Here is a 21,531-nt window from a genome sequence, read left to right on the forward strand (position 1 = left end):
CAGTTCCATCCTTGTTGTTGCAAATAACAGATTCTCATTCTTTATTCTGACGGAATACTACTCCATTGTGTAGCTGTACCATGTTTTCTTTATCCATTCATCTGTTGATGGATGCTTAGGTTGCTTCCAAATCTTGGCTATTGTGAATAGTGCTGCAACAAATACAAAAGTGCAGATATCTCTTTGAAATACTGATTTTCTTTCTTTGGGGTATACCTAGGGGTGTGATTGCTATCTTTTGGGTATAATGTAGGAGTGGGGTTGCTGGATCATATGGTAGCTCTGTTTTTGTTTTTTTTTGTGAAATCTCTAAACTGTTTTCCCTAGTGGTTGTACAATTTACATTCCCACCAACAGTATATAAGGATCCCCTTTTTAAAGAACTTATTTTATAGAAGCCCCAGTATGTGGATACACACACACATACACAGACACACACACACAAACACACAAATTTTTACTAGAACATTATCTCTAACAGCAAAACTGGAAACAATGTAAGTGCCCATCAGTAATGGGAGTAGTTTTACTCAAACTTTGGAATCTCATAGGGCGTTACATATTATTTCATTAGTTAGAGTCATGGTATATTGATAAAAGAGAAATTTATGTTGCGTGGCAAATTTATTTTTGTCATAACCTCAGAAGCCTTAACTATTTGCATATATTTATAAGAACATGGAGGCCAGGCGTGGTGGCTCACGCCTGTAATCCCAGCACTTTGGGAGGCTGAGGCGGGCGAATCACGAGGTCGGGAAATCAGGATCATCCTGGCTAACACGGTGAAACCCCGTCTCTACTAAAAATACAAAAAATTAGCCGGGCGTGGTGGCAGGCACCTGTAGTCCCAGCTACTTGGGAGGCTGAGGCAGGAGAATGACGTGAACCCAGGAGGCGGAGCTTGCAGTGAGCCGAGATCGTGCCACTTGCACTCCAGCCTGGGCAACAGAGCAAGACTCCGTCTCAAAAAAAAAAAAAAAAAAAAAAGACCATGGAGAAAAGTATGGAAGGGAATGGTAGATAAGAGGAGTTGAGTTTGTTTAATATACTTGATTCTTTAACATGTTCAAATGAGTATGTATTATTTTATATTTTATATAAATATAATTTATTATACTTACATGTTTTATGTTTTTTCATTAACAAAGTAAACACTCTGCTATATTGATCATTCTTCAAATGGAAACAGAAGAACAGGGGCCATCCTTATGACCATCTGCACTAAGAGAGTTAGCCTCTGAAGGAATGTGAGATTTAGGCTAGCCATCATCAGTGACCAGTCTGTTTAAAACATACCTGTTCAATCAGGTCCCAGCGGGAAACAGATGATGCAGTCAAATTACGATAATTCAAGAGCTGGAGCCAGGTGTAGTGTAGGAGAAACTCAAGGAGTTTTTCATGGACCAGGGGCCACCAACAGCACAGCTGTTGCCACTTGAGGCACAAAGAGACAAGGAGAGGGGGAGGATGTCAGAACCCAGAAAAAGTCATGTTGTAAAGAACCTTGATTAGAATGGTGACCTTCTTTCAAGGGACATAGTCCATTCACGGTAAGCTTACAGGAAGTGAACCAGGGAAGAAAATGTTGAATGCATTCTAATCTCTCCTGTCATCTGCCAGGGCTCCCCACTGACTGAACCCAACTAGAGACAGATGTTAAGAGAGAGCCTTTTGATGTCAAGTACCTAGATCAGCAGCCTTGGGCAGAGAACAAGGGCAAGTATAGAGAATGGGTTTTGAGGAGTAAACAGGAGCTATCTGGCATAAAATAGCCAACTTTTTATTTTATTTTTTTTTTTTGAGACAGAGTTTCATTCTTGTCGCCCAGGCTGGAGTGCAGTGGCGTGATCTCGGCCCACCGCAACCTCCACCTCCTGGGTTCAAACAATCTCATGCCTCAGCCTCCTGAGTAGCTGGGATTACAGGCGTGTGCCACCACACAAGGCTAATTTTTGTATTTTTAGTAGAGACGGGGTTTCACCATGTTAGCCAGGGTGGTCTCAAACTCCTGGCCTCAGGTGATCTGCCCACCTTGGCCTCCCAAAGTGCTGGGATTATAGGTATGAGACACCATGCCCAGCCCCAATATTCTTTTTGAATTAAATAATCAAAATAACCCAGAAGAGGAAAACATAGATAATATGCAAAATATTGATATCCATTTACTTTATGGGCTTACATAATTATTTTTTAATTGACCTAAGCCCAAACACAAAATTAAAAAAGAAAATCTGAAGATGGCATTGTTCCTCACCCTCTTCTGTACATAAGTCCTAAGTTCTTCCTTAAACTCCCATGAGGGCATAGCAGTGAACATCTCAGAGTGGGGACAGAAAACTATTCCTAAAGATGAACATGGCCCCAGACCCACAAAACGCCAGACTTTGGACTTGGTCTGAAATAGTGGAGGTTTTCTGTTAAGTCCTAGCTTGTTTCCAAGGAATGACACTGTAAATCAGGTCATGGAATGGGAAGCTGACATTTACTGACCCTTGGCATGTGCCAGGCTCCATGACATACATTCATGTAAGTTATCACTTTTACTCCTCTCAGCAAACCTGTACTGTGACCAATATGGTCACATGAATGTATGCCATGGAGCCTGGCACATGTCAGGTTTGCTGAGAGGAGTAAAAGTGATTACTCTTTAAGAAACAGAAACTCCAAGAGTTTAATTTGGAGTTTAAGGAACTTTCTCAAGGTCAATGATAGAGTCTGGAATTGGAGCTAGGTCTGCTTGGCTACATCGTGGCACAGCCTCACTTGGCTGCAAGATGGTAAAGGAGTCATTATCTATTATCAGAGGTCTCTCACCTGTCCCAGAAATATGGCTTTCCCCTTCCCCTCTCTCTCATTCCCTTATCTTCCATTCATTCCCTTAGTTATATATTTAACAAGTATTTATTCAGTACCTACTGTGTCAGGAATCATGCATTGTACCATTGATATCAATGAATATGGCCTCTGCCTTCATGGATTTTACAGCTTAATAAGAATTCTCAGGGGATTCATCGTATGGATTTCCACTAGCCCCAAGTCCTTTTCATTTGAGGTCATTTGCATCTCAGTCTTCCTATATCTTTATTAAGACTGAGAATTATTTTTTGGCCTATTTGTTTAAATAAAAGTGTAATATAAAAATTGTAATAAACCTTTTTAAAAATCTCACTTGCTAGTTCATTATTTTAGAGAATTGAGGATACTATAATATTATAAGAAATATGAAATACTGGAACTAGGTAAGATAATATTTTTAAAGGTGCTTTCTGGTTTTATTGAAACAAATCAGCCAGCTCCCCCAAAAATGTGGATATATGGGTACATGTTGAGGCTTATGTTTTAATCAGGCTAAAAGCGTATCACATTCTCTCAAATAAGCATATCTTTCATTTCTTAAATTGAAAATTTATTTGTATTTATTCAAAACCTTTCTTGTCAAAGACAAGTTAAAACTGCTGTTCAAGTGTCTTGTATAATTATAACCATAAAACTAATAAACATTTCAACTAATTTTTTCCCTATTCAGATATGCTTGTTCACTCTTGGGAAAGCCCCAGATTGGGTTACTGAAGTAATCTCATTTTTGTAACTGAGCCAGTATTATCATTATCAAAATTACAATTGATCTACAGTATAGTGTCATAAAGGGTGACTGGTATGTAGCACATTCTGATTTCTCTCATTTTGCATTAGATGCATTGCATAATAGAACTGTAGGAATTGCCTGCTAATGCTTTAGTTCACCCTTTAACAATTAAGTTAGGCAATCTTGGGTAAAGCAACATTCAGTAGGCTCCATGCATGTTGTTTTCTATAACCACCTTTGGATGCAATTTTGGGGAGTGGGAGGGCTGCAATACACACACAGAGACACATACATATATTTATAATTTGTTAAGAGGAAGTTACTATTAAACATCTAAGTTGACATATTGTATGGTGGGTTCTTCTGGGTCTGATCCTAGACAAGTGAGTTAACAACATCTTTGATCCTCTTTAGCTTTCTACTTTTGTAAAATAAAGGGGTTGGACCAAATAAGTGGGGTTTTTGTTTGTTTGTTTATTTGTTTAGCTTTTAGAGTTTTTTTTGCCCATGCTACGATATTCCTAGAAGTCACTGAGTACCTAGTAAGGCAAACCAGGACCAGCTGTAGCTCCTCCCTTGTACTTTAACAACAGTAATTCTGTTTTGTTTTATATGTGAATCATCCCAAGTAAGACTTCCAATCTCTGATGCCTTTTCACCTATTTATTAGTAGTAGGGGTCATTGTATTCTATTTTTGGCTTCATAGTGAATGACAGCTTGTACAAACAACACAGATACTGGAATAATCAGTCTTTTCTTCAAATTCTGTAGTAGCATGAACTGTAAAGTATTAATCATGTGTTTATGCCTGGTTTCTACATGTGAATCCGTTAAGCCTATTCTTAATTTTCTCGCTTCGTCAGCTTCAAAGCAGGAAATTACACCATTGCCCAAAATCTCCACCATTCTGTTGATTTTGTTTGGGAGGTGTAAATCTAGTAAAGCATAGACAGAGGCCTGTTGCCAGATTGATAGCTGTATTTGTCTGCGTAGATTGTATTTTCACAGCTGTCAGGTGAGATGGTTGCTTCCTATATAAAGTGGTTCTAGAATCATGCATGTGCTTGGGATTTTAATTTATCAGATTTTTTAGCACTTCCTACTTAAAGAGCTTCAAACTCTAGGGAATATAATGTATGCCATTCTGAAAGGTGGTATTTCAGCTTTTGTATCTTTGGGGATAACATGTTGTGAATGAAATTGGTGTTTTAAATAGAGCTCCTGGGGAAGTTTTTGCCAACAGTCCTTTTGATATCCCATGTGCTCTATTGTAATAAGAAAGCAGAATAAATAAACTAAACTAGGTGGTCAGGATTCTGTTAGGATGAAAACAAGTATAATTTCCTTTATAATGATGAAAAGCAAACAAAACTCTGTACGAATAGTTTTAATCAATGTTTAAAGACTGGTTTCCCAGACTCTTGTGTGTTTGACAGATAGTCTTGGGTGGGGTAGAAATGGAGTGGAAAAACAAACAATTACTGTGGAGATAATAAAAATTACTGGGCAAAAAGAAAAAAAATATTTGAAATACTTCTTTTTTTTTTTTTTTTAAAAGACAGAGTCTTGCTCTGTTGTCCAGGCTGGAGTGCAGTGGCACAATCTCGGCTCACTGCCACCTCTGCCTCCCAGGTTCAAGTGACTCTCCTGCCTCAGCCTCCCGGCTCATGGTTGACATAAGTTACCTCTCCCAGCATTTTTCATTTGTATTTTGAGAAAAACATAAATTAATGTGTTATTGAAAACTGCCGTGATCATTTTTCATTTAGGCTAATTATTCCAGGAAAGGGATTCCTATATTGTATTCACTTTTTTTGGTTTTAATACTTTAATAGTGAGTATTTATAGCTATAGAAATTTGATACTTTTAATTAAAAAATTTGAAACTAGGTTCAAATGAAAGAAAAAATTCTTATAAACTTTAAAAATGTAACCACTTGTTTAGGGTATTGGAAATCAATTCTCCATATTTGACACTATCAAATTAGCTTCAGATAACCCTTTTCTTCATTTTGTGTTCATGTTGTTTTCACTTTGTAAACAGTAAAACTCCATCTCCTTGCGTGAAGTTATTTTAGGGGGAAGAAAAAGTGCAATACACAGATTCATTATCTTGTAATGACTCATTTTAGTTTTGCATTGAATCAATCTTTGAGACAATTACTGTAACTTGATTTTTTCCTTCCCTCCACTGGTAATAAAAGAGACATTTTATTTCAGGGAAATGTGAAGTAAAATAGTCTTGCTTCATAAGCATGCTCAGAGAAGAGATTTTTAAATCTTGTTTTAAAAATAGTGGCATCATGTTCATGAACTTCAAGTTTTCTTTGTTCCTTTTCTTCTTTTCCTTTTTCTGTGAAACTCAAGGATTAATAGGAAGCATGTCCAAAATTCCCTCTAGGAAGAAATTTAGATAGGGACATAAATATATTTTAGGCATTCTTACTAAGCATTTCCAAATAAGCTTTAAGAGTTTCTTAAGTAATCTTTGATTTTATAGGAAGAAAAAGGGTCAAAGTTTGCTTTCTTCACAAACTTCAGTAAACAAATCCCTCTTGTATTAATGAAGAAATTGACTAAACCTACCAATTATCTCACTATTATAAAACATGTCTTGAAAATTTATTAGATGCAGGCCAAACCATTGAACTCAGACCTTGCCTTTAAGAAGCTTCCATCTAATTAGGATATATCTCAATCTATTGGAGATAATGAAGTAGAAACTAAATTATTATTAATTTTAGACACACAAAAGTCATTTCACTTCTGTAAAATGGAAGAAGTAACGTGAAGCTACCTGACTAATGAATGTTGGATAACCAGTTATTGGAGTGCTTTGTGGAGGTAAAGTAATAACTACAAATAACAATAAAGTTTCACCTTTACTTGCGTATTTTTATGTCACTTTTGCTGAAGAAAAGTGCCTTGACATTTTTACTAGTAAAGTTAACTTTTTTGTTATTTTTTAGAGAATAGAAATGGATAAAATAGACAAATTTGATGGATTCTTTGGAAAAATCATTATTGGATTTATAGTTATCGGAACGTTTTTGAATATGATCAAACAGTTTAAATTAAGATTCTATTACATGGATAGTAATACACATGGAATTACCTTAAAAGTGATTGTGTACTATGTAGAATATCACAATTTTGTAAAATAGTTCTATAGCGAAGTTAAAATATTACTGGATATGCTTATGTAAAATACATGAACACACAGTTGACATAAACTAACTTGATGATTGGCCAGAACTGGAATTCCAATTCTTACACCTACCCATCCACCCACATCTATTGGACAAGTGCCTGGTTAAACAGATGGGCCTTGGGCTGTGCTCTCAAAACAGGCAACCTCCACCTTTATTGAGCAAAACATTGGATGAAAATAGACTATATTGTCTTATTGTGCTACTGAACATGGTAATTTAAGTGAAGAGCTCCTATTTATTATTGTTGTTGGTTGTTAAAAATACCTTTTTCCTTATGAATGAATATGTGAAAATTGGAGGACAACAGATGGAGTCCCAGGGAACTGGAAAACCTATAGATAGGGAGGTAATTCTCAGTCAAATATGAAAATAAAAAATCAGCAGGAGTGTGAAATTTCATGTGGTTTTATAAATGCATGTAGCTAAGATTTTAGAAAATGTTTGGTTTAGCCTACAGACATGGGTTCATCATGAAATTTCTCTTTTCCACTAAAGGGTATGAGACCAAGTAGAATTCTCGAAGTCTGTCCTCATGCCCCTTCAATAAGTTACCACTTCAAAAGCTACAAAGCTGGATTCAGGGCAGGACCTTAAGTTCTGGCTACCGTCTGTGTAAATATCACACACTTACATGTGGTAAAGTCAGAGGGACTTGCAGACCTGAGTGATACTTATGACATCAGAAGTGAGTTTTGTTTATGGTTGATTAATGACATTGCTACTTGGGCCATGTTTGTGACAACAGCACTGAGGGCAATTAGCAAGAGCAACAGTTAGACAGTCCCATACTTGGAAGATTATATGAGACTAAATTTGACACTCTTAATATTGACATCTCGTAAATAGCATTTGGTCTCTATGTATTTTCATGATATTCTCTTTAATGTAACAACAATCAGTAAACTGTCACATATCTAACCTCATGGAACTCACATATCTAACCTCATTGAATCATTAACAATGATATTTGCACCTCTTAAATTATGAAATGGGTGGTCTGTGGGCAGCATGCTAAAATTCAAGTAAAAGACTTCCTACTCCTTTTTCCTAAATTATTTTTTTAGTCTTTTGGTAACTCAGTTTTCACAAAGAAGGGGAGTTTGGTTGCTACCTACTTTCCCTGTAATACTGCTTGGCTATTTTTCAGTGGCAAGAAATAATTCCTGTGATACTTAAGAACTCTATGGAATAAAGCTCAGTATAGTGTATATTGAATTATGCTTTCTGGTTATTATATTTGGATAAATTTAGGCATAAGGTTGTTTAATACTTCAGCAGAAACCTGCAATGGAACTTCCTAAAAATTTGACCTTGTGAAAGAAATCCAAATGGAATTGTTTTATATTTTTTTAGCTCCTATAAATGTGTGTGCGGGGTTAATAAATAAATAGGTAAGAAATAGCACAGCATTGTTTAACGTTTATTTCTTTCCTCAAAATAAAAAGTTAATAGAAAAAGTAATACATTGTTATTATTTAAGAGTTATTTCTTACTGCAAAATGTTTTGTGATAGCTTTGTTTCATTGTGTTTAACTTAATTTAAATTACTATAATACTTTTTTGTTACATCGTCCTTTGAAATCATTGAAATTGACTAAATAATATTGTTCTATTCTACTTGATAAAATGGAGAGCTCAGAAGATTAATTTAGATACAGAATTGAGAATAAAACAGTCTCAATTTGTGCTTAATTTTATTAGAAGGAAATATATTATAAAAATAGCCATTTGAAGAGAAAAAAGATAAAAGTAGTGAAATATTTTAATTTTCAAACTCTCATAAAATAGTAATACAGGCTGTCTTTAAATGAAAGTAAATATTTTGTGTTTATGTATGTATATGAGACATATGATCATTATTAGCTTTATCTTGAATTACTCTGATATACTATATTTCTTATACATATTATTTAATGTCTTTTGTTGTGTTTTGTTTTAAACAGCAAATGCCAGTCTTCTTGGAGGAGGAGGTGGTAAGTCCTGAACATCACTTAACTTAAAATACATTTTAATTGTTATACCAACTACAAGATATTTAGTAAGTTCTGTGACACTTAAAAGAAAATTAATTTTGCTGTAGTCATCAATTACAAAAATGTTAATCTTTCAAAAATAATTTATAATATAAATACCTTGGTTTGCTTAAATGTTATTTTAATTGACTTCGAGATATATACAGTACTCTTGTCAAACTTTGTATTTCTGCTTTTGGCATAAGGTGTAACAGCTATAAGCTATATGAACACACATGTAATACATGTGTGTGCATAGTTACAGAGTAACTATGTACATATTACAGAGTTACTTTTAATATGAATTCTAAAACAACAGAACATTTGGAGGCTATGGTTTCTTTTTCCACTATAATGACTTTCTTTTGCTTTTCATGACTTTGTAGCCTGAGAGCTTAATATATCAGCCACTTACTTTGAAAAATAAAAAAGAAATTACTGTTGACACTCTGCTTTTTCTTTCTGCTCAGTTAGAGGAGAAAGAGAAGGAGATCAAAGTGAGCTGAGGGAGACAGAGATTCCTGTACTGGGAATTTTTTTGATACTAAAATCTTGTAACTATTTGTATTTTTACTTCTAGGTTAGGAAGATGAAAGCTTTCATAGTCCCAGTATATATAATATAGTAGGAGAGAAAAAAGTATACGATTAGAACAGAGTCCTTTTCATATAAGGCCCAGATGGACATAACTAGGTTTGTTTCCTCTTTCCCTGTCACTCTCTTTCTCCCTTCCTTTCTTGCTCTTTCTTTTTTCTTACACACAGTTGAAACAGATAGGATTGTGCAGAGCCTTAGGCTTTCATCAGGAGGTTTCATTGTAATTTTTATTTGGAAATTAAGCATTTAACCTTTGTTTCTCTGTAAGAACAGTTGATTTTTAAAAAACAGAATCTTGAAAATAAGAAAAATAGAAAAGTGTTTGAACTAGGAAGTGCTCTTCGTATTATCACATGTCAGTGCATGTTCTGTACCAGAGTATCATGAAATGAGTGTGGGATTTGAAATTGGACTTACTGTGTGGAGACCAGGAAAGCATTACTAAATATCTCCAAGCCTCAGTTACCTCATCTTTAAAGTATGAGGATAATATTAACTATCTAAAGTGTTTATTGGGAGAATTAAACAAAAATATTTGCCAAGTAACTAAGTAATAGAACAGTGGGGGATTCATAAATGTCTATTTCTTTTCTTCTTTCCTAAGTTATTTTAGAAAATATGAATTTGTAGGATGTTTCATTGCACTTGTTATTTTATTTGGGGGGAACTAGAAGGGAAAATTTTCCTTAGAAGTTGAATTTCCAGTAATTTTTTCTCTCTGTCTCTTGTAATAGGTGAAGAAAACATGATTAAGTTAAATTGTCCATAGTGCTGATTTTCTTACAAGATATATTAGTATTTTAAGAAACCTCACGAATATTGTTAATAGCATAGAGGAAAGTTAAAATTGAGTCTATGTAAACACATTCATCAACTTAAAACAACAAATTAGGTAGACGATTCAGTTATTGCTTTTGAGTATTTCAAAAAATTGACTTGACTAATTATATTAGTTAAAATCACTTTAGCCACTATAACAGAAAAAGTAAAAAACATTAAAATCCACAATAACAGTAGTTTAAAGGAGATATAAATGTATTTCTGTCTCATGTAAAGGTAGTCTAGATACAGGCTGGAATGGTTGTGTGATGAATCAGAGACTCAGCTCTTACTTTTCTGTTCTTTCCTAGTGCATGGCTTTCATACTTAGATGACCTCAGGGTACAGGATGGCTGCTGGAGCTCTAGCCATCACAAATATGGCACAGGTCAGGAGAAATAGGAAAGGCAAAACATGAAAAAAAGTGGGCTCCCAAACATGAGTCAGTTTTCTTTAAGCAGATTTCCCTGGAATCCCACATTGTCTTTGAATCTGGACAGTATTCATTCCTAGCATGTAGTCTTTTATTCCAAGAAGCAATGCACTCATCAGAAAAAATTACCGTTCTGTTCACTAAGGAGGAAGGGGAGAATGGAGGTTGAGGAAAACAGTGTAATGTACCTGCCATGGTGGTTACCTCTATATTGTCAAACTGATTTCTTTAAATATATGTATGTATTGTTGGTGTGTATAGAACTGACTCCAGTGATTTGGCTTGTATTTTCTTATGATTCCTCTCTTCTCTGTGAGAAGATTTATGAATTTCTAGCAATGATAAGACATTCAGGAATAGGCCAACTCAGTTTTCTATTTAGCTAAAGTCTTTATTTTAGTGACTTCCTCTAGATGGTTGATTTTGCTCAATTTGTCACGATTTATAATTTTTGAATAATAAAATTAGCAACTCAGCATCATCATAAAGATAAATTACAAGTATTTAAGATGGTTGTAATTTCTTTCATTAAAGTAGGTCATCGACAGGTTTAAATTTATTTATGCACTTCTGGAGATGTCAAGATTGCTCTAAAACACGTGTCTGATTTTTGGAAAGCTGCATTTAAAAATTAAATTTAAGGAATATTTTTAGCCTTCTCTGAGCTGATTTTTGACCTTATGATTCTATGACAAATCTTTTTAATCCTCTCAGTGATATTTGTAAAGTAACAGCTAGTAATCATCTAATAAGAAGCGATTGAATTGATGTAATTCTCTTGGATTTAATCAAACAATTCCTTTTTTCAACATGAATTAAAATCCCTTCAAAGGTCCATCAAGAGAATAATTTTTTAATTGACTAAACAATTTGATCAAGAAAATTTGACACCACATACAAAAATAATAATGGGACCTAAGTCCCCTTCTTTAGATCCTCAGGAGGGCTTCCCCCATATTCTATATGAGTAGTACCTGATAGTGAAATGTAGACAAAATTATTGTATGCAAAATTGTATTAGCCATAAAATCTTAGCATTTTGTTGTTCTTTTCTGAGTGCTTACCACCAATAAGACTGATCCCCTGAAAGACTTAAAAAATGGTCACATATCATCCTCTCAGTGCTGATTTTAAAGTGAGAGATTTACTTTACATTGATGTGAATTTTCATCTTTGAGCTAGATATCAATCTTTCTATGAATGTATTGCCACTGACTGCAGTTCATTGTAGTGAGCATAGGTGATGTGATTACTTCTACTCAGTCATTTCAGTTAAAATTTGATAACTTTTACCAATTTTACCAATTTGCTTGGTAAAATTGATCACTTCTGTTCATAGTTTCTAGATAGGTTGAAGGCAGAGACAGTTATGTACTAATTTCTTAATATATAGCTGGTCTATAGTGACTGAATTGTACTTTTCAGGAGGCATTTATATTAATGTTAAAAATCTTTGAAGTTCCGTTAATTTTTTTGACAAACTTTCCATTATTATTACCAACAGTACCCTGTATATTATTTTACCTGTTGTTATTTTAATGGTTGAGAGAAACTTCTTCAAAGTTGCATAGCTTATAGGGCAAAGTTGGAATGAGAAGACAGCGTTCTTGACTGCCACTCCAGGGCTCCTTGCCCTGGCACTGTGGTTTTTAACATGCCTCTGCTCTCCAGGTTTGCTTTTCTATGCAGAGATGGGTAATTCTGTTTACACCAGGAAAAATAAGTGAGAGGACAGGAAAACATACAGTTAAGATACGGATGTTGCATTCCTTGGCTTATTTTCACAAGTCTCAAGATCTACTGATAGCTTGAAAGTCGATACAATGGCACTGTCTTACAGTACTCTTGGATTGCTGCCCAGATTCATATACTTTTTTGTGCATTTGAGATTCAGTCTTAGAAAACACTGCATTTCAGATACATGTTCACCCATCTGTAATAAGAATGTTGTACATGCACAAGGTCCTGTGATGCTGGTACTTTTGGAATATATAGTAAAATATAAATCATTGTAGCCAGTCTTAAATTACATAAAGAAGTAGAATTAGAAAGAAAAATCAGAACTGAAGAGCTAATTCCTCACTTCCTTTTGGATCATTATATAATAGGAACAAAATTTACGGTCTCTTACTTTAGATAATATCTTTTGTTTTTCATTGACGTAATAGTTAACACAAAACTAGAACCTGCTGATAGAACCCAAGCAGGATGTTGTTTATGGGATGTGCTTCCTCCTCCAGTCTGTCAAAGCACTTGAGGGATAATGCTAGACATTTAAAATGACGGTTCCTGACAGAGTGGTAACTTACTGTCTTTTGTACACATAGCTTTATGACTGCCATTTTAATCATATATACATACACAGAGATAAAAAATAAATATATATATTTGCATCAATGCTGTAATTTGATACCTTATTCCTGAGTTGATTCTGTGGCAGGTTAATAGATAAGTACTGTTGTCTAATAAGCAAGTGCTGTTATCTATGCAGTCAGCCCCAGCTGCAATGCATGCAAAGCCATTTGTCCAACGCGAGAACAGAGAGGACACTGTGAGCCTTCCCACCTCTGATGGCTTCCTGCTCTCCTTCTGCCCCTTAGAGTAGGCCCAAAGATGGACAAGGTTCAGTGCCTTGTGTTAGTACCTGCTCCTCTAATCTCCCTCATTTCTGATTTGGACAGTTCTACTTGCAGAGAGGATTCATTATGCTTGTCTGTTATTAATGTCCCTTCATACAATGAGGCTGTTTGTGTGACATACTAAAATTCATGCTTGAAAAGGAATAAAATTATAACCTGGGTGATAGGTGATAGGTGCACCAAAATCTCAGCCTTTGCCATTACACAATTCATCCATGTAACCATAAAACACTTGTACACCAAAAGCTATTGAAATAAAAAAAAAGAAAAAAAGAAGAGTGAAATCATAAACCATGTGCTGTTATATCATAGATAGTATTTGTGCATCTCCACACACCCATCATCTGTTTCTAAACACAAGCACACATATGTGCATACATTCATTCAGCAAATATTAATTGAGTTACTATTGTTTGTCAGTATTGATTATTGATTGGGCAGTAAACACAGCCTTTTCCCTGTGGCCAATCATGATCCCTGTTCAGCTGAATTACTAGAGCAATTATAGTTGTCTACATTCTTTCAGATGTTCCAAGGATTCTGCTGGCATAGTCTTTTGAGTTAAAATGATGCTTTAACATTAATAGAATGGGCATTGGATGTCTTCTTTAAAAGGCAGAGCAGATATCCTGAAAACAACTAATTTCACAAAAAATCTGAGTTGCTACCTGGAATTCCTAATGTGAAGAGCAATGTGTTTAAAGGGCTTTTTGAGTGTGTTTAAGAGGGAATGATTTCATAAATTTTGTCTTAAGCATTCACAAGCAGAGTGGAGCGCCCTCTCACCTCCCTCCACATACACAACGGCTTTCCCAGCATATATCACTCCAGCGCTCAACATCCTGCAGTGATTCTGTTTCGCTCTTGTTAAACCTCCAGATGTGGCTGGGCTTCAGGCATGCTGGGAGGAATCTAGGATAGCAGTCAGCAGGGAGGGACTGAGGCAGTTTACAGAGGGTAGAGTGTTGGGGGTTACCCCTCAGGAGAGTCAGTCAAGCATGGCTAGTAGTGACTTTGCCAGCTGGCCTGTGCTCAGCAGGGGAGGGGCCCCAGCCATGGGCCTGGGGAACAGCAACAGCCTTTCAGTCCTGAGAGAGCAGCATGGCAGGAGAAACTCAGGGGCTCTGGCCTTTTTACTCAGGCAGGGAGCAGAGATGCAGGAAAGGATGTGATGCTAGGCCACAGAAAATAGGGTTTAAATCTTAACTGCCTCGGCCAGGCACGGTGGCTCATGCCTGTAATTTCAGTACTTCGGGAGGCCAGGGTAGGAGGATTATTTGAGACCAGGAGTTTGAGACCAGCTTGGGCAACATACTGACACCTCATCTCTACAAAAAATAATCAAAAATTAGCCAGGTGAGGTTGTGCATGCCTGTGGTCCCAGCTACTTGGAAGACTGAGGTGGGAGGATCGCTTGAGCTCTGGACGTTGAGGCTGCAGTGAGCCGTGATCACACCACTGCACTCCAGCCTGGCCATCAGAGTGAGACCCTGTCTCTTAAAAAAAAAATCCTGACTGCCTTAGGTGGGATTGATCCTGGGCACTGTGGGCGGATAAGCCTGCTAAAGGAGGCCAGGAGGCCCAGATATGAGGAAGAAGAGGGAAGGTGGTTAGGGACCAGGAGCCAGGCCAGGTCTGACAATGCTGAGTTACACACTGAGCCAACCTACCTTTGCCCTCCCTCCTTCCCTCCTCCCCGTCTTCTGTCCTCCCTCCCTCCTGCCTCCCTTCCTTCTTTGCTTTCTTCCTTCCTTTCCCTGTTTCCCTCCTTCCTTCCTTCTTTTCTTTTTGTCTTTCTCAGTCAACAGCAACTATTGATTACTTCTTGTATACTAGCCTTGAAATCAGTGTAGGTAAGATTCTTAGAACTAAGTGCAGCCAGAGGCATAAGTACTTATTTACACATTAATATTTTAAGAACTAAATAGGTTCTTCAAGCAGGGAAAATGAAACAGAACAAAGGAAGTCAACAGCTTATAGTGGTCAGGGAAGGCTTCCCAGAAGAGGTGACATGGGAGCAGTCTTGAATGATGAGTAGTAGTTTTCAGGAAGCAGAAGGTCATGATCTATTCAGATGTATTTCCTACTCTTTGCTGTAGAGATCTTGCTCTGCCATCTCCTCACTGTTCTGCCATCATATCATCCAGGTCTTGGTTAAGCTGTTTTCTTTGACAGTCCCAGCATGCCACTTAAAATGGAGTGAAAAGTGTTAGGGCAGAACTGAAGAGAGGAACTCTGGTGCTGGTGATGTGGGTAGCAAACCTCCATCAGAGCAACCTGGGCAAAGTCTGGTGGTCATCGCCAGTGCGAGCTCCTCCCCGCTTTACTTTCTCTTGTGATTACCTCACCTGCTTCTCAGTCTAGGGACCATCTCTACAGCTGCTCACTCCAGTTGGATTTCTAGTATGTGTTTTCTTCATTCCACATGAACTTGTCTAGTTCTTTCTCTTAAAAGTTTAACTTAGCCCTGATTGCTCTAATCTTGCCTGCTTTTTGTCATTAAGCCTTCCAGATGCTCTTCGTGGTAGAGGAAGGTGAGGTGGGGAGGGTTCAAAATCCAAGCCATGCATCTGCCTTGAACTCTTCTATTGTAATGGCAATTCCAAGGACATAATTTGTTTATTACACTTCTAACTTTGGTTACTGTGATCCCTTCATTCTAAAACTAAACTTCAAAGTTATTCATCATGTTTACTACACATGCTCCCACTTCTAAGTGAACCTCCCTGTTGAAAGGGCAACCCTATGCAGATTAAATGCTCCTTCTCATTGTAGCCATACCTGAACCTGGAAGTGTGTATTCCCCAATTAAGGCAGAAATTTCCTGAGAGTGAGTAATTTCATATTCATCTTTATAGCCCTGGCTTATTCTATCACATATAGTAGGTGCTTTGAGATATTACTGTCTCTCATCCCGGATTCTCAACATGTTTATATAGTTCGGTTTTGACCAGTTTACTTTGGAAAGTTAATCTCTTTATCTTCAAGTGATTTCTAAATGAAAAAAAAAAACAAAAACCCAAACTTCAGAAATGCTTTTAACAGGCAACCTGAGGATTATATTCATATTTATACAGTAATTATTTTTATCATAGTATTATCTTTTATTTTTAAAAAGTTTGTATAGCCAGGATCTCATAATTTTCTTTAAATATATTTACTTTAAATGGGCAATAAAGAGAACAATATGTAATTGAATAGATGGGGAATGAAATACAGAGAATTTACATTCTACAGATCACATGGAAAGAGGGAAAGCCTATTGTTTCATTCATGTTTTACCATATTGAGGGTATTTAACCAGTTATATCATTCTCCTTTTTCATAGTTTGATTTTAATTTATTAATAATTTGTCTTTTACATACTACAGGTAACTTGTCATTGACATCATATTACTAATATGTATACTAGTGTTATCCTACAATACGTTTCTATTTTTTTTTTTAGCTTCAATAATATAGAAAAATTGTATGTGTTGGTGTTCTTAACTGGATACTCTTTTAAGGTCACTTGTTTCCATTTTACTTTTGATTTTTAGAGTTTGCGTTTTTAAAATGAGTTTTATAATTGGTATGTATTATTTATATTTGTATGTTTCATAATTAACTCTTTTTAAAAAAATAGAGGTTTAGTCATTCTTTCAGAAAATGTTGAGATTAGCAAATCATGCTCAAAGATAGGAATTAAAGGTTGTAAAGAAAAAGAAATAAAAATAATGGAAGCCCTCTTTTCAGATGTGGAAATACGTTGGTAAAAATTCTAGGCTCTTATAAGTTCTCTCACTGTGTTGGGCTAGCTAAATGATACCTAAATGGTTGGAAGTTCAGATAATATCTATAAACAAATATTTTAAAGTTAGGAAGTACTCTAACAGGTGCCAGGATATGTCTACATATCTTCCTAATTACATAGTAGCTATAGTATAATGCTTGTGTAGCTTATCTACTTGCGTTAAAGGTAAAATCTTTTTAAAACTATAAAAAAGAGAAGTTTATTGAGTTCCCGATTTAAATATCTCTCATCCCCAAAGAATCTCTGAATGTGACTTGTTGGTACACAGTAGGAAACAAGTTTCAAGCAAAATACTGCAGGTCAAGCCTGTTATGTTTTGGGATGACTACATTATATTCCTTCAGTTTATGGCACAGAATTGTTTTTTTAACTGTATCTGATGTAGCTCCACAGTAATACAAGGTGGGGCAATTTCTTAGGGAGCCACTTTTATAATCTTTTTTGTTTTTGGCACTGTTAAGAATCCTCTTCTTCATTTACCCCTCAAACTGAAGATACTGTAGGGATGAATGAATCTGGCCAGTTCTTGATGGCAACAAATTCAAGATCTCCAGGGTCCTGTCACAGGCACTGTGGGTCCCTCGGGTTACATGATCCCTTATTGCTGCAGCTCTCTTTGGTCAAAAGTCATTATTTTTTTAATGAGTTAGGACAAATTTATTGTTTTGTATACTAGTTTCCTGTTCTAAAATGATGGTTATAATGGTACCTAACTACTTTACAGGTGTGGAATAACTAATTGCCCACTGTAAAATGTTGTTGAACTACAAAGTGTTAGATAAATGAGTATCACTCTACTTGTCATTATTATTAATATTATAGTGCAAATCTGAAAGATGAAAGTTGCTGGATAATTGCAAGATATGGTGATGGTGTATCCAAATAAAGGGGAATAACCTGAATTGTTGGATAACACAAATCCAGATATCTGTGTGTAGTAGAAGAGTTTGTTTTACAAAAAGATTATATAGATAGCTGTGCTTTAATTAACCCCTCAAAAATCTGAGGATTTTTCCTACAAATATGGATAGAGGAATATTCTAACAGTAGTTCATTTCATCGGTATGTATAGTGGTCATCATAAGGAAGCGTCTTTCAAGTATTTAATTGCCCAGAGTAAAAAATAATTATATACTAGAGTATGAGGAATTCCAGCTTCATGCAACATTACCAGTCTAGGAGAAGGTGAGCTTAATGTAGTCTTCAGGACAGGACACGTGATGAGGCCATCTCTTAAGGTATGTGAAAAGAAGCCAGAAGCAGTAGCATTTTTCTATTCAGGCACATGCTTGGCACTGGGGAGGAACAAGGGATCCCACAGAATAGAGTTAATGGCCCACCCATGTGTATGTCCAGCAGGCAGTCAGGCCTGGAAAAAGAAGTAGGGAAAGAAAAACCTAGCAGAAGCTTAGAGTACACAAGGGAAGGGTGGTGCTGCAATCTGGAAGGTGACAGGGAAGACCAGGTATCCTCATGGGGACACCTGACCCTGAGTTTAAATGGCAGCAGGAGAGACCTGGCAATAGTCTGGAGCCCTCTGAGGTCAGTATATAGACCCCAGGTCTGAAAGGGTGACCCAAGTCAGATTAGCTAAGAGAAGGTTGAGGCTGCTAGAGAATCTGAGTCTCCAAAACTGGCTTTGAGAGTGGGGCTGAATGGAGCTTATGCATGGGGAGAATCAGTGGATTCAGCTATGAACAACTGGGAGAGAGATGCAAGAAGACTCAGAAGTGTACAATATTGGGACGTTCTCCAGGAGAAGATGAACAAGAAGTGATGTCTGAGGAGTTGTAGCTAAAATACTCTCTCAGCTTCTGCCACATGGTTATTTCTGACCAACAAAAAGCTCTCAGAAATAGCCATGAGGGGCACAAAGCCCTCACTAGGCTAAAAATCCACTAACTCTGCAACTTCCTAGATGCTGAACACACCAAAGGCCTCACACTTACAAATGTGGTATGATGTCCATGCCTGCAGGGTCAGCTTTGCAGAACAGACCAAAAAGACTTTTACAAAGCTCCAGGTTTCATTTCTAGCATGATTGGAAAAAGCATAATTTTCTAGTCAGATTTTGTTAAACAAGGAATAATTCTACATCTCCATTAGTACAAAAGCCTTGCTCTGTCATTAGATTATCTCTACTTAAGAATCTTCTAGCAGGCCTCTCTGCATGCCCTGGATGGTTGGGCACTATCCCTACTGTGTCTCCATCAAAGTCAGTGCATTTTCTTAGGTAACTATCTCTCTTTCCTCTAAGATTATAGATTTCACAATGACATGGACTGTTTCTATTGTGTTCACTTGCTGAAACCTCAGAATCTTGTAGAAAATTTGACATATAATAGGCACCTACCAACTAGCTGTTGGACAGATGGCTAAAGAAATAATGGTAATAACTAACGTTTATGGGGTGCTGATCTGTGCCAGGCACTGTGTAAGAATTGCACATACATTATCTATGTTAATTATCTCAATATTCTGAGTAGATAGATATTATTATTCTTCTCATTTTACAGATGGAAGATCAAAAGCTCAGTGAGGTTAGGATGAATAAAATATTGGGCAGACCCAGTATTTAAGCAAAGACTCTCTCCAACTCCAAATCCCCCTTTTAATCATTGTACTGTAAGTTCACGAGTTCAAATTAACTTAGTATTACTTATGGGAATAAGGAGTATATTCATGGATTTATATGTCTCTAAACCTTCTTATTCTGATTTTTTCTGGGCAACAGATTTTCTTCTTTGAATTTCCAACTCATCCTTATGTCTAATTCTCATCCTCTGGAAATAGCTTTACCCCTCAGAGTTATTTCCTGGGAATAGAAGAATCAGTGGTGCTAAGCTAGGAATTTCTAGGCTTGTCTCTCCTTCTTTCTCAGTTTGAATATGATACAGTATCCGTTATTTAACCTTAATTCTGATAAAATAGTATTTTCAATAATCAGAAATTCTGAGGATCTTGTTGTATTTATAAATAACAGAAATAAACTATAAAGAAGTCCTCTTTGACTTTTCTCAATTCCATTTTTCTTTCACACAGACAATCATTATTCGGTGTACAACTTTTTATTTGTCATAGTTTTATATACATATGTATCTGCAAATAACAGGCAATATTGTTTAAAAATGTTGCATAAATATATTATGGGCATTCTAAAATTTGTTTTTATTTTATTATTTTGCTAAGCATTGTTTAAAAATGTATTCATGTAGATATAGAAACCACTAATTACAAAATGATTACTCTAAGGATACTTTCAGTTTAATTGAGAATGGCTTTATGCCTATAAAATTCAGTTCTGTTTTTGAAAAGTAGCTTTTAGGAACATATGTACCAGTTATACAAGAATATATCTTCATAGTCCTGGTACAGCTAGTCTTTCTAATGAAGATGATAAAAGTTGGAAAATTTGAAGTATGTACAGTATATAGCTTTGGAAGGCAGCAGCAGTACTAAATTTCAACTCCCACAAGTTTAGATGTGCCAGGGTAGTATATCTGGATAATATTTAGATTGGTGCTCTTAAATCTGTCTAGTGTTTCTTTGCATATATCAAGGAATACCTGTTTTTGGCCTAAAAATTTTATGCCAATCTTTATACCCAAACGCCAATGGTTAATTCATCCTTTAAAAAATAATACAAGATAACTTTGATAAAACACCTAGAAAGTTCTTATGTTTGTCTCTTTTCCCTTGAACAGGGAGAAGAACTCTATTACAAGTATTATCTTAAATATACTCTGAATTAGTGGTTCTAAAATTTGAATATGCATCAGAATTGCTTGGAGGGCTTGTTAAAACACAGATTACTGGGCCTTATGCCCAGAATTTCTGTTTTAGTAAGTCTGAGGTGAAGTCCATGAATTTGCATTTCTAACAAGTTCCGTTTTAATGCTGACCCTGCCAATCTGGGGACCACACTTTAAGAATTACTGCTCTAAATAAAAGTGAATAAAGAGAGGATTTTAGGTTATGGCAGAGTGAGGAGATTGGTAAATCCTCTCTCCAAAAAAAGCAGCTATAAGGCTGGACACAAAATCTCCAACAAAATAAAATCATAACCATTTTAGTACTCTTAACATCTAAATAGAATATAACAATTTGAGAAGGATTTACGCTTCAAAAACTGCTGAACTTCATAGTTGGAATCTATGGCAACCTTGCTCCCACCCTCTCCATTTGGTTGTGTGGAAAATCTGCAAGGGTTGGGAGTGTTGGGGGGTGGGCAGGTTGTGCCTCTGTAGTCAAACAAGACTCATAGACTTTGAGTGGTGAGTGATTAATACGCCCTGAAGAGTTGTCAGTGAAAGTGATGATCTTGGCCAGATGAGGGCCAAAAGCCTGAAGTTATGGTTGTGGTTGGGACCAATATATTTCTGGCTACCACTGAGCACATGCACAGTGGAGACCAAAGAGACCCTAAGCTTTTTATGTAC

At 36.2% G+C, this 21,531-nt stretch overlaps 1 protein-coding gene across 3 annotated transcripts in view; it reads left to right on the plus strand.

Annotated features, from left to right (window-relative positions):
* MACROD2 (mono-ADP ribosylhydrolase 2) overlaps nucleotides 1-21,531 on the plus strand; it is a 2,057,682-nt gene that overhangs the window by 489,221 nt on the left and 1,546,930 nt on the right. For all 3 annotated transcript variants that reach the window (NM_001351661.2, NM_001351663.2, NM_080676.6), the window contains exon 4: nucleotides 8,743-8,772. In NM_001351661.2, the coding sequence (NP_001338590.1) occupies nucleotides 8,743-8,772 (30 nt within the window). The remainder of the gene's footprint in view (nucleotides 1-8,742; nucleotides 8,773-21,531) is intronic.

The sequence above is a fragment of the Homo sapiens genome, chromosome 20 (genome assembly GCF_000001405.40).
Source record: "Homo sapiens chromosome 20, GRCh38.p14 Primary Assembly".
In the NCBI taxonomy this organism is placed as follows: Eukaryota; Metazoa; Chordata; class Mammalia; order Primates; family Hominidae; genus Homo; species Homo sapiens.